This window comes from Homo sapiens, chromosome 6, assembly GCF_000001405.40.
Source record: "Homo sapiens chromosome 6, GRCh38.p14 Primary Assembly".
In the NCBI taxonomy this organism is placed as follows: domain Eukaryota; kingdom Metazoa; phylum Chordata; class Mammalia; order Primates; family Hominidae; genus Homo; species Homo sapiens.
The window spans coordinates 120,012,356-120,026,622 of record NC_000006.12 but is presented as its reverse complement, the minus strand read 5'-3'; the positions used below and the strand labels follow the sequence as shown (position 1 = coordinate 120,026,622).

At 35.1% G+C, this 14,267-nt stretch overlaps 1 non-coding gene across 1 annotated transcript; it reads right to left on the bottom strand.

The window, feature by feature from the left end:
- Nucleotides 1-11,365: 11,365 nt before the first annotated feature.
- Nucleotides 11,366-11,444, bottom strand: MIR3144 (microRNA 3144). Its single transcript, NR_036098.1, has one exon. It is a non-coding gene; the product is annotated as a microRNA 3144 (primary transcript).
- Between the last annotated feature and the right edge of the window lie 2,823 nt (nucleotides 11,445-14,267).

Genomic DNA, 14,267 nt, shown 5'->3' with positions numbered 1-14,267 from the left:
TAACTCAAGCACCCAAAACCCTATATAGGTTGCTCTTCTAAGCAAAGAGTGGAGCATTTCCAATCCATAGTCTTTGCTTCGACACTTTGCAAGAAAAGAAAAATCATATTTTACTCTCAAAACAAAATTTTATTTTACAAATTGGTCTAAGTTAACTAGTCTGAAATTACTGGATGCATACTTGTAGGGTTTTCACCAAGAATGTATATCCCTGTCTTAATTACTTTAAGTAAACATGTGTGTATACATATACACTTATATGCATATATATGGCATTGTAGCAATTTATATATGTGCATATATATGTGTGTGTATATATGTGTGTATATATATACACACACACATACACATATATACACACATATATACACGTGTACACACACACACACACACACACACACACACATATACATGGCATGGTAGCAATGTGTTACACTGACAAAAATAAACCAAAAAGCTGTGTATTGCCTATCCATGGTCCGTGGCCTTACACAAGTTGTTGCTATCTGGCATTTCTATTGGCTGTTGACCTGGCTCCTCATTTGTACAGCTTAGGCCCTTCTCCTGCTCACTGACTCCTCCAGGATCTGGTTCAGATTTTTCCAATTAGATATAATCTGTTAAAATAAAACCCCGGCAAGAAAGAAGATAACAATATATATTATGCAAAGTGATCTATCTCCTCACTAATTTAAATGCTTCCATTTTAGAAAAGAATTTTGGCTGTAATTCTGCATAATAAAGACAATAATTTTTCCAAAAACAAAAATTAACTTTCTCCAAAGATAAATCAGAAAACATCTGTGACAATTTAAAATAATAATTTGTAGCCATTTTCATTTATCTAGGTGGCAAATATTAAAATACAACATCACTGACAGTATTACATTAAAAGTATGATAGAGCTAGAGTGGTTTTTTAGTTCGAAAACTGAGACTAAAGTATTAGGGAAAGCCTTGCATTTCTTCATTACAATGTACCATAATTTCACCATATTATAGATAAAACAAATCATTTATAGAACACAGGTGTGTGTATATCTTTATAATTTGCATGACTGCAGTAAATGTTCTCTATGTGTAATTATATTTAATGAGCTCAACTGGATTTGATATATAGCATCAGCTAACACCCCCAAAAGATTAGCAGGGGTTAGCACTGAAAGTAAAAAGGTGGCTAACCTAGCTTAGAGTCTGTGATAATTCCAATTATGAGTTTTAGTTGCCTAATTTTACCATTGAATTATCTACTCTGTTTTGAAACTTTTGTCTCCTTTACCCTGTCCCCAGGTTCTTATGGACATTTCCTTGTCTCCCCATCCCCATAGTATTCACTTGCCCAGGAATTACAAATCAAATGCCTCTGGAATGAGGCAGGGAACTTTCTTGTGTAAAGTAAGCCAGACGTTGAAAGCTAGAAAGTGTGAAGGGCTGTGCTAAATTGAACAATGCATTGTCAGACAAAATGTATATAAATGCAAAACTCTTAAAACACTTTGTAACCAAAGAAAACATATCTGAAGGATAGATTTGGCCAAAGGATGTTAACTTGCACCTACTGTCACAAATCACTAGTTTATTTGTTTGGAGGAGTCAAGTAATCCTTTGAGATTATAATGAAAGACATTTTTCTCTGTGGATTTTGTTTTTACTTTTAAGTTCCACGGTACATGTGCAGGATGTGCAGGTTCGTTACATAGGTAAATGTGTGCCATGGTGGTTTGCTGCACCTATCCCTCACCTCCTAGGTATTAAGCCTGGCATGAATTAGCTATTTTTCCTGATGCACTCCCCACACAAGCCCCAGTGTGTGTTGTTCCCCTCCCTGTGTCCATGCGTACTTATTCAGCTCCCACCTATTGGGAACATGCAGTGTTTGGTTTTCTGTTCCTGCTTTAGTTTTCTGAGGATAATGGCTTCTAGCTTCATCCATGTCCCTGCAAAGAACATGATCCTGTTCCTTTTTATGGCTGTACAGTATTCCATGGTGTATATGTGCCACATTTTCTTTATGCAGTCTATCATTGATGGGCCTTTGGGTTGATTTCATGTCTTTGCTATTGTGAATAGTGCTGCAATGAACATATATGTGCTTGTATATTTACAATAGAATGATTTACATTCATTTGGGTATACACCCAACAATGTGATTGCTGGATCAGATGGTATTTCCAGTTCTAAATCTTTGAGGAATCACCACACTGTCTTCCACAATGGTTGAACTAATTTACATTCCCACCAACAGTGTAAAAGTGTTCCTATTTCTCTGCAACCTTGCCAGCATCTGTTGTTTCTTGACTTTTTAATAATTGCCATTCTGACTGTGTGACATGGCATCTCACTGTGGTTTTGATTTGCATTTCTCTAATGATCAGTGATGTTGAGCTTTTTGTCATATGTTTCTTGGCTGCATGTATGTCTCCTTTTGAGAAGTGTCTGTTAATGTCCTTTGCCCACTTTTTAATGGGGTTGATTTGTTTTCTCTTGTAAATTTGCTTAAGTTCCTTGTACATTCTGGATATTAGACCTTTGTCAGATGGATAGATTTCAAAAACTTTCTCCCATTCTATAGGTTGTCTGTTTCCTCTGATAATTTATTTTGCTGTGCAAAATCAATATACAGAAATCACAAGCATTCCTATACACCAAAAACAGACAAGCAGAGAGCCAAATCATGAATGACTCCCATTCACAATTGCCACAAAGAGAATAAAATACCTAGGAATACAGCAACAAGGAAAGTGAGGAACCTCTTCAAGAACTACAGACCACTGGTCAAGGAAATCAGAGAATACACAAACAGATGGAAACATTCCATGCTTCATAGGAAGAATCAATATCATGAAAATGTCCATACTGCCCAAAGAAATGTATAGATTCAATGCTATTCTCATTAAACTACCATTGACATTCTTCATAGAATTAGAAGAAACTATTTAAAAATTCATATGGAATCAAAAAAGAGCTCATATAGCCAGTACAATCCTAAGCAAAAGAACAAAGCTAGATGCATCACACTACCCAACTTCAAACTCTACTACAAGGCTAGAAGAACCAAAACAACATTGTACTGATACAAAAATAGGCACATAGACCAATGAAACAAAATAGAGAGCTCAGAAATAAAACCGGACATCTACAACCATCTGATCCTTGACAAACCTGACAAAAACAAGCAAGGGGGGAAAGGATTCCCTATTTAATAAATGGTGCTGGAAGAACTGGTTAGCCATATGCAGAAAATTGAAACTAAACCTTTCCTTACACCTTATACAAGAATTAACTCAAGAAATTAAAGACTTGAATGTAAAACCCAAAACTATAAAAACCCTAGAAGAAAATCTAAGCAATACCATTCAGGACATAGACATGTGCAATGATTTTACGTTGAAATTGCCAAAAGCAATTACAACAAAAAGCAAAAATTGACAAATGGGATCTAATTAAAGAGTTCTGCACAGCAAAATAAAATTCTGCTTTTATACCACACCTTGGGTAATTTCATTCAAACCCACAGATGCATTTTTCATATATATTTTAGTATTCACAAACATACATATATACATCTATATGTGTATATGTATGTATGTACAGTGGACCCTTGAACAAAACAGGGATTAGAGATGCAGACCCCTGCACAGTTGAAAATTTGCATGTAACTTTTGACTTCCCAAAACCTTAACAGTTGGTTACTGTTGAATAGAAGCCTTACCAATAACAAAGTTGATTAACAAATATTTTATGTTATATGCATTATTTGTTGTATTCTTAACAAAAAAGTAAGCTAAAGAAAGAAAATGATAAGAGAAAATACATTTACTATTCATTAAGTGGAAGTGGATCATTACAAAGGTCTTCAAACTAGTGGTCTTCATGTTGAGTAATCTGAGGGGAGGTGGCACAGGCAGAAAACAAATCTATGTATGAGTGGACTCACATAGTTCAAACCTATGTTCAAGGAATAACTGTATATATATATGTGTTCAGAAATACACACTTCACTTATTGAATAAATGTACATGATTTAAAAATGAAATAGTACTAAACAGGTTATATTAAAAAAAGATTTACTGCTCCCACTTGTCCAAACCTTTTGTCTCTTTACTCAGAAACCACTTTTGACTCAAATTATTTAAATTAGCACTACAGTTTTAAAAAGTATTTGCATTGCTCATTAATATAATCGGGTATATACTTTTTAATTACTTTAGTAAATAAAATAGGGATGGATAAGGATTAAACAGTCTTACAACTCAACCGTCCCTACCCAGCCTCTCAAAGTATTATATCACTATTTTTAATTAAACCAAAAAAATTTATAATATATCTTTGTAAATGTGATTCACAGTAAAGCCAACCACAGTACCATATTACATCTCTTCTTTAAAAACACTTTTAAATGTATTTAACAAATAAAATATATTTATAGCATTTGAAATATATTTGCCTTGTAGAACAGCTAAATCAAGCTAATTAACATTACCTCACATACTTATTTTTTGTGGTGAGAACACTTATAATTTATTCTTATTGATCTTCTAAAGATATAATAGTTATTAACTATAGTTCCCATGTTGTACAATGGATCTATTGAAATTATTCTTCCTAAAACTTTGTATTTTTTGACCAAAATCTGCCTACATCCACCTCACCCTCAGCAGACCCTAGTAAACACCATTCTACTATTTTTATGATTTCAAATTTTTAGATTCTACACATAAGTGAGATCATGAAGTATTTGTCTTTCTGTACATGGCTTATTTCTAATAAAATGTCCTACAGGTTCTTCCATGTTGTCACAAATGACAGAATTTTCTTTTCTTTTAGGCTGAATAGTATTTCATTGTGTATATATACACCACGTTTTCTTTAACTATTCACCTGTTGATGGACACTTAGGTTGATTCCATATGATGGCTATTGTGGCTAATGCTGCAATGAACACAGGCATACAGGTATCTATTTGACATAGCAATTTCATTTTCTTTGTGAACATACTCAGAAGTGAAATTGCTGGATCATATGGTAGTTCTTGTTTTTAGGGGTTTTTTTTGAAGAAACTTTATATTGTCTTTCATAATGGCTCTACTAATTCATATTCCCAACAGTGTGAAAGAGTTCCCTTTACTCTACATCTTCACCAAGTGTTACCTTTTTGTATTTTTTGTAATTGCCATCCCAGAAGGTATTAGGTTATATCTTATTGTGATTTTAATTTGAATTTCCCCAGTGATTTGTGATATTGAGCATTTTTCATAAAACTGTTGAACATTTGTATGTCTTTTCAGAAATGTTTACTCAGAGATCCTCTGCCTATTTTTAATTGGGTTGTTTTCCTGCTATTCAGTTGAGTTCCTTACATCTTCTGAATATTAACCTCTTATCAGATGTGTTCTTAGCAAATAGATTCTTGCACTCTATAGGTTTTCTCTTCACTTTGTTTCCTTTTCTGTGCAAACGTTTTTTTCAGTTTGATGAAATCTCACTTGTCTATTCTTGCTTTTGTCACTTATGCTTTGGGGTCATAGCCAAAAAATTATAGCCTGGCACAATGTCATAGAGCTTTTCCCATATGTTTACTTGTAGTAGTTTTAGACTTTTTAGTCTTACATTTAAATCTTTAATCTATTTTGAGTAGATTTTTGGATATAGTGTGGAATGAGGGTCTGATTTTATTTTTTGCATGTGGATTTTCAGTTTTCCTAACACCATTTATTGAAGAGACTCCTTTCCCTATTGTGTGTTATCGGCTTCTTTGTCAAAAAGAAATGGAATGTAAATGTGTGGTTTTAGTTCCGGGCTATCTAGTCTATTCCATTAGTCTATGTGTTTGTTTTTATGTCAGCATGGGATTGTTTTGATTATTATAGCTTTGTAGTATATTTTGACATCTGGTAGTGTGAGGCCTTCAAATTTGTTCTTGTTCAGGATTGCTTTGGCTATTAGCAGTCATTTGTAGTTCCATATAAATTTTAAAATTGTTTTTCCTTTTTTGTGGAATATGTCATTGAAATTTTGATATGGATTGCATGGAATTTTTTAATTACTTGGGTAATATAAACATTTTAACTATTAATTCTTCTTGTCTATGAACGCACAATATCTTTCCATTTACTTTTCTTCTTCAGTTTCTTTCAATGTTTTATAGTTTTCCACGTACAAGTTTTTACCTCCTTGGTCAAACTTATTCCTAAGCATTTTATTTTATATTTGGATGTCATTTTAAATGCAAGAGTTTTCTTGATTTATTTCTTGGATGGTTTATTATTATATAGAAATGCTAATGATTTTTGTACATTCACTTAGTATCCTGCAAATTTACTAACTTCATTTATTAGTTCTAACAGTTTTTTGGTGAAATCTTTAGGGTTTTCTATATATAAAAACACGTCATCTGCAAACAGAAACAATTTACCTTCTTTTCCAATTTAGATTCCTTTTGCTTCTTTCTCTTGCCAAATTTATCTGTCTAGGATGTACAGTACAATGTTGAATACAATGTTGAGTACATTGTACGTTGATGTACAGTACAATGTTGAATAGATGTGGCAGGAGTGGGCACCACTGTCTTATTCCCAATCTTAAAGGAAAAGCTTTCAATATTTTCCTGTTGAGTGTGATGTAAGCTGTGGGTTTGTCTTATGTGATCAATATTGTGCTAAGATAAATTCCTTTTACACCTCATTGGTTGAGAGTTTTTATCAAGAATGTTCAATTTTGTCAATGCTTTTTCTGCATCTATTGATTGAGATAATCATATAGTTTTTATCCTGCATTCACTTAATGTGGTAAATTAGATTTGTGTATGTTGAATTATCCTTGCATTTCTGGGATAAATACCACTTTATCATAGTGAACGATTTTTTAATGTGCTTTTAAATTTGTTTTGCTAGTATTTTGTTGAGGACTTTTGCATCTATATTCATGAGGAACATTGGCCTGTAATATTCTCTTCTTATACATATCTGACTTTGGTATCAGGGTAATGTTGGCCTCATAAAATGATTTTAAAATTATTTCCTTTATATGGTCTTGTTCTGTGTCCCCACCCAAATCTCATCTTGAGTTGTACTCCCATAATTCCCATATATTGTGAGAGGGACCAGGTCGGGGGATAATTGAATCATGGTGGGGGGTGGTTCCCCCATACTGTTCTTGTCGTAGTGAATAAGTCTCACAAGATCTGATTGTTTTAAAAAGGGTTTCCTCATTTGCTTCTGTCTCAATCTCTCTTGCTGCTGCCATGTAAGAAGTGCCTTTTACCTTCCACTATGATTGTGAGGCCTTCCCAGCCACATGGAACTGTGAGTCCATTAAACCTATTTTTCTTCCCAGTCTCAGGTATGTCTTTATCAGCAGCATGAAAGTGGACTAATACAGTAAATTGGCACCAGAAATGTGGTGCTGCTGAAAATGTGGAAGCAACTTTGGAATTGGGTAACAGGCAGAGTTTGGAACAGTTTGGAGGGCTCAGAAGTCAGAAAAATGTGGGAAAGTTTGGAACTTCCTAGAGACTTGATAAATGGCTTTCACCAAAATGCTGATAATGATATGGACAATGAAATCAGGCTGAGATGGTCTCAGATGGAGATGAGGAACTTGTTGGGAACTGGAGCAAATGTGACTCTTGCTATGTTTTAGCAAAGAGAATGGCAGCATTTTGCCCCTGCCCTAGAGATTTGTGGAATTTTAAACTTGAGCGAGATGATTTAGGGTGTCTGGTAAAATAAATTTCTAAGCAGCAAAGCATTCAAAATATGACTTGGGTGCTGTTAAAGGCATTCAGTTTTAAAAGGGAAACAGAGCATAAAAGTTCAAAAAAATTTGCAGCCTGACAATGTGATAGAAAAGAAAATCCCATTTTCTGAGAGGAAATTCAACCTGGCTACAGAAATTTACGTAAGTAACAAGGAGCTGCATGTTAATCACCAAGACAATGGGGAAAATTTATCCAGGACATGGGAGACCTTCAGGGCAACCACCCCCATTACAGACCCAGAGGCCTAGGGAAAAAAAATGGTGTCATGGGCCAGGCCCAAGGTCCCACTGCTATGTGCAGTCTAGGGACTTGGTGCCATGTGTCCCAGATGCTCCATCCGTGACTAAAAGGGTCCAAGACACAGCTTAGACCATGACTTCAGAGGGTGCAAGCACCAAGCCTTGGCAGCTTCCATGTGGTGTTGGTCCTGAGCAAGCGCAAAAGTCAAAAATTAAGGTTTGCGAACCTCTGCCTAGATTTCAGAAGATGTACAGAAACGCCTGGATGTCCACGCAGAAGTTTGCTGCAGGGGTGGGACTCTCATAAAGAACCTCTGCTAGCGCAGTGCAGGAGGGAAATATGGGGTGGGCACCCCCACACAGAATCCCCACTGGGGCGCTGTCTAGTGGAGCTGTGAGAAGAGTGCACCATCCTCCAAGCTCCAGAATGGTAGTGCTACCAACAGCTTGCATCATGTGTCTGGAAAAGCCACAGACACTCAACACCTGCCAGTGAAAGCAGCTGGGAAAGAAGCTGTACCCTGCAAAGGCACAGGGGCGAAGCTGCCCAAGACCATGGGAACCCACCTCTTGTTATCAGTGTGACCCAGATGCGAGACATGGAGTCAAAGGAGGTCATTTTGGAGCTTTAAGATTTGACTGCCTTGCTGGATTTTGGACTTGCATGAGGCCTGTAGCCCCTTTGTTTTGGACAATTTCTTCCATTTGGAATTGCTGTATTTACCCAATGCCTGTAACCCCATTGTATCTAGGATGTAATTAACTTCCTTTTGATTTTACAGGCTCATAGGTGGAAGGGACTTGCCTTATTTTGGATAAGACTTTGGACTGTGGACTTTTTGAGTTAATGGTGAAAAGAGTTTTAAGACTTTGGGGCACTTGTTGAGAAAGCATGATTGGTTTTAAAATGTGAGGACATGAGATTTGGCAGGGGCTAGGGGTGGAACAATATGGTTTGTCTCTTTGTCCGCATCCAAATATCATCTTGAATATAGCCCCCATAATTCCCATGTGTTGTGGGAGGAAACTGGTGGGAGATAGTTGAATCACCGGGGTGGTTTCTCCCATCTTGTCTCATGGTAGTGAATAAGTCTCACGAGATCTGATGGTTTTACAAGGGATTTCCACTTTCACTTCTGTCTCATTTTCTCTTGCTGCTGCCATGTAAGAAGTGCCTTTTGCCTTCCACTATGATTCTGATGCCTCCCCAGCCACTTGGAACTGTGACTCCGTTAAAGCTATTTTTCTTCCCAGTCTCAGGTATGTCTTTATCAACAGCGTGAAAATTGACTAATACATTCCTCATCTTTAATGATCAGAAGCATTTGAGAAGGCTTGGCATTAATTCTTCTTTCAATTTTTGGTAGAGTTCATTAACGAAGCCATCATGCCTTAGGGTTTTCTTTGATGGAAAACTTTGTTGATTCAATGTCTTTATGTATTATTGGTCTGTTCAGGTTTACTCTTTCATGATTCCGTCTTGGTAGGATATTTGTGTCTAGAAAGTTACACATTACTTCTAGGTTATACAGTTTGTTGGTATATAATTGTTTCTAACAATCTTAGGATCTTTTGTATTTCTGTGGTATCAATTGTAATGTCTCCACCTTCATTTCTGATTTTTAAGTTTTCTCATTTTTCTTTACATATATATATTTTTATTATACTTTAAGTTCTAGGGTACATGTGCACAACGTGCAGCTTTGTTACATATGTATACATGTGTCATGTTGGTGTGCTGCACCCATTAACTCCTCATTTACATTAGGTATATCTCCTAATGCTATCCCTCCCTGCTCCCTCTATCCCACAACAGGCCCCAATGTGTGATGTTCCCCTTCCTGTGTCCAAGTGTTCTCATTGTTCAATTCCCACCTATGAGTGAGAACATGTGGTGTTTGGTTTTTTGTCCTTGCGATAAGTTTGCTGAGAATGATGGTTTCCAGCTTCATCCATGTCCCTACAAAGGACATGAACTCATCATTTTTTATGGCTGCATAGTATTCCACAGTGTATATGTGCCACATTTTCTTAATCCAGTCTATCATTGTTGGACATTTGGGTTGGTTCCAAGTCTTTGCTGTTGTGAGTAGTGCCACAATAAACATACGTGTGCATGTGTCTTTATAGCAGCATGATTTATAGTCCTTTGAGTATATACCCAGTAATGGGATGGCTGGGTCAAATGGTATTTCTAGTTCTAGATCCCTGAGGAATCGCCACACTGTCTTCCACAATGGTTGAACTAGTTTACAGTCCCACCAACAGTGTAAAAGTGTTCCTATTTCTCCACATCCTCTCCAGCAACTATTGTTTCCTGACTTTTTAATGATCGCCATTCTAACTGGTATGAGATCGTATCTCATTGTGGTTTTGATTTGCATTTCTCTGATGGCCAGTGATGATGAGCATTTTTTCATGTGTCTGTTGGCTGCATAAATGTCTTCTTTTGAGAAGTGTCTGTTCATATCCTTTGCCCACTTTTTGATGGGGTTGTTTGTTTTTTCTTGTAAATTTGAGTTCTTTATAGATTCTGGATATTAGCCCTTTGTCAGATGAGTAGATTGCAAAAATTTTCTCCCATTCTGTAGGTTACCTGTTCGCTCTGTCGGCAATTTCTTTTGCTATGCAGAAGCTCTTTAGTTTTAATAGATCCCATTTGTCAACTTTGGCTTTTGTTGCCATTGCTTTTGGTGTTTTAGACATGAAGTCCTTGCCCATAAGTTTTCTCATTTTTCTTAGTCTAGCTAAAGGTTTGTTGATTTTATTTTTTCAAAATAGCAACTCTTGGTTTCAGCAATCTTTTCTAATGTTTTCAAGTCTATTTTTTTATTTTTGCTCAGATTTTTATTATTTTCTTTCTTTTACTGACTTTGGTCTTAGTGTGCTCATTTTTCTAGTAACTTGAGAAATAATGTTAAGTTGTTAATAATGTTCTTTTTCTGACATAGGTATTTATTGATATAAACTTCTACCTTAAAAGAACTCCTTTTGCTGAATCCCATAAGTTTTGGCATGTTGTGTGTTCACTGTCTCAAGATATTTTTTAATTTCCCTTTTATTTTTCTCTTTGAATCGTTCATTGTTAAAGGTCACGACTTTTAAATTTCCATTTATTTGGAAATTTTATGAAATTTTTAAAATTATTTATAGTATCATACCATTGAGGTCAAAAAAGATATGTAGTATAATTTTAATATTTTTAAATTTGTTAAGGCCTGTTTTGTGGCCTACCCTGCAATCTATCCCAAAGAATGTTTCATGTGCCCTTAAGAACATGTATTCTGCTAATGTTGGATGAAATGTTCTATATCCATAAGTTATATATGTCTCCATTGATATGTATATATCCATTAAAAAATCAGTTAAACTACACTTTAAAGAGACCGAACAGGTATATAGGTAGCTGATATCTATATATCTCTTTGGTCCCCTTAAAGTGTAGTTTCAGTCTGATGTTTTCCTGTAGATTTTCTTTCTGAAGAATAACCATTTTTGGAAGCTGGATAGTGAAGTTTCCTTGTATTTTCTCCATTCATATATATTAATATTTGTTTTATATATTTAGGAGCTGTGATGTTGAGTACATTTGTATTTAGAATTGTTATGTCCTCTTGATAAGTTGACCTCATTATTATATAGTGACCTTCTTTGTCTTTTACAATTTTTGATGTAGTCTACCTTATCTAGTATAGATATTTCTGCTCTTTTGGTTTCCATTTGCATGAAATCTTTTTTCATTCCTTCACTTTCAGTCTATGTGTGTGATTAAAGGTGAGGCGAGAATTTTATAAGTAGTATAGAGTTGGGACTTTTTTGTATCTATTTATCTACTTTTTATTGGAGAATTTAATCCATTTACACTCAAGGTAATTATAGATTTACTACTGTCATTTTTTAATTGTTTTCTAAATGTTGTATAGATCCTTCGTTACTTTTTCTTGATGGCTTCCTTTTGGATTAGGTAATTTTCTCTAGTGATATGCTTCGATTCCTTACCTTTTATTTTTGCGTATTTACTATAGGCTTTTGTTTTGTGGTTAGCATGATGTTTACATAAAATATTGTATATTTAAAACAGGCTAATTTAAATTGATAACTTGACTTTGATTGCATTAAAACTTTTTACCGTCACATCTTATGTTTGACATCACAATTTATATGTTCTTCTATTGTGTATCCCTTAAAAATTATTATAGCCAGCTATTATTTTTAGTAGCTTTGTCTTTTAACATTCATATTAAGAATAAAAGCAGTTTATATACCATTACATTATTATAGTATTTTGAATTTGACTTCTTAGTTTTACCAGTCATTGTTATACTTTCATATTTTTTCATGTTGCTAATTTTCTTTCAGCTTATGGAATTCCCTTTATCATTTCTTGTACAACTGATCTGATGGTGATGAATGTGCTCAGCTTTTCTTTATCTAGAGAGTTACCACAAATGTGCCAATAACATACACTGGGTAAAAGACAGTCTCTTCAATAAACAGTGCTGGGAAAACTGGATATCCATATGCAGAAGAATAAAACTAGACCCCTATCTTTTGCCATGTACAAAAATAAAATCAAAGTTGATTAAAGACTTAAATCTAAAACTTCAAAGTATAAACTACCAGTAAACATTGGCAAAAATCTCCAAGACATTGGTATGGGCAAAAAATTCTTGAACAATGTCCCAGAAGCATAGGCAACCAAAACAGAAATAGACAAATGGGATCACATCAAGTTAAAAAGCTTCTGCACAGCAAAGAATACAATCAACAAAGTGAGTCAACTCACAGAATGGAAGAAAATATTTGCAAACTACCCCTGACAAGGGATTAATAACCGGAATATATAAAGATCTCAAGAAACTCTACAAGAAAAAAATCCAATAATCTGATCAATAAGCAAAGCCTTGAATAGACATTTTTCAAAACACATACAAGTGGCAAACAGGCATATGAAAAGGTGCTGAACATCATTGATCAGAGAAATGCAAATTAAAACTACAATGAGAAATATTTCACCACAGTTAAAATGGCTTATATCCAGAAGACAGGCAATAAATTTTGTCAAGGATGTGGAGAAAAGGGAACCCTTGTACACTATTAGTGGGAATGTAAATTTGCATAACTACTACAGAGAAAAGTCTGGAGGTTCCTCAAGAAACTAAAAATAGAGCTACCATATGATCCAGCAATCCCACTGCTGGGTATATACACAAAAGAAAGGAAATCAGTATATTGAAGAGGTAGCTGCACTCCTATGTTTGTTGCAGCAGTATTTACAATAGCTAAGATTTGGAAGCAACCTAAGTGTCTCTCAACAGATGAATGGATAAAGAAAATGTGGTACATAAACACAACGAGTACTATTCAGTCATAAGAAGAATGAGATCCTGTTATTTTCAACATGGATGGAACCGGAGATCATTGTGTTAAGTGAAATAAGCCAGGCACAGAAAGACAAACATCATATTTTCTCACTTATGTGTGGGAATTAAATATCAAAACAATTGAATTCATGGGCATAGGGAGTAGAAGGATGGTTGCCAGAGGCTGGGAGGCATAGTGGGTGGCTGGGCAAGTGTTGGGGATGGTTAATGGGTAAAAAAATAGTTAGAAAGAATAATACCTACTATTTGATAGCACAACAGGGTGACTATAGTCAGAAATAATTGTACATTTTTAAATAACTAAAAGGATATAATTGAATTGTTCTTAATACAAAGGATAGTAAGCTTGAGGGGATGGATACCCCCATTGTCCGTGATTTAATTATTTTACATTGCATGTCTGCATAAAACATCCATAAATATATACACCTACTATGTACCCACAAAAACAAACTAAAACTAGAAATACAAATGATACATATTAGATGCAGATACAAATTAGATACAGATGATCTAAATAAGATAATCAACAACTTTGGCCTAATTGATATTTATAGACCACTAAACCAGATAACTGCGGAACACACATTTCTTCCAGGTGTACATGCTATGTTAAAGACAGATCATATACCTAAATGATAATGTTATGTCACCAGAAACATTACTAGCTTGGATTGAGATGGAGGCAAAATAAAAAAGTTGTTGGTCTCCCAAAATTTTACAGACAGGAAACAGGCTGATAAAACTACTCAGCTGCAAATATGCACTCTCTTTCCAGAAAAAGGAAGAACACCTTCAAGGGCAGAATCTTGGGCTTAGGCATGGAGTCTCAAACGACAGAGAGTTAATCCTAGGCTTTGAAACATAATGGAATTTTTCTAGTTAG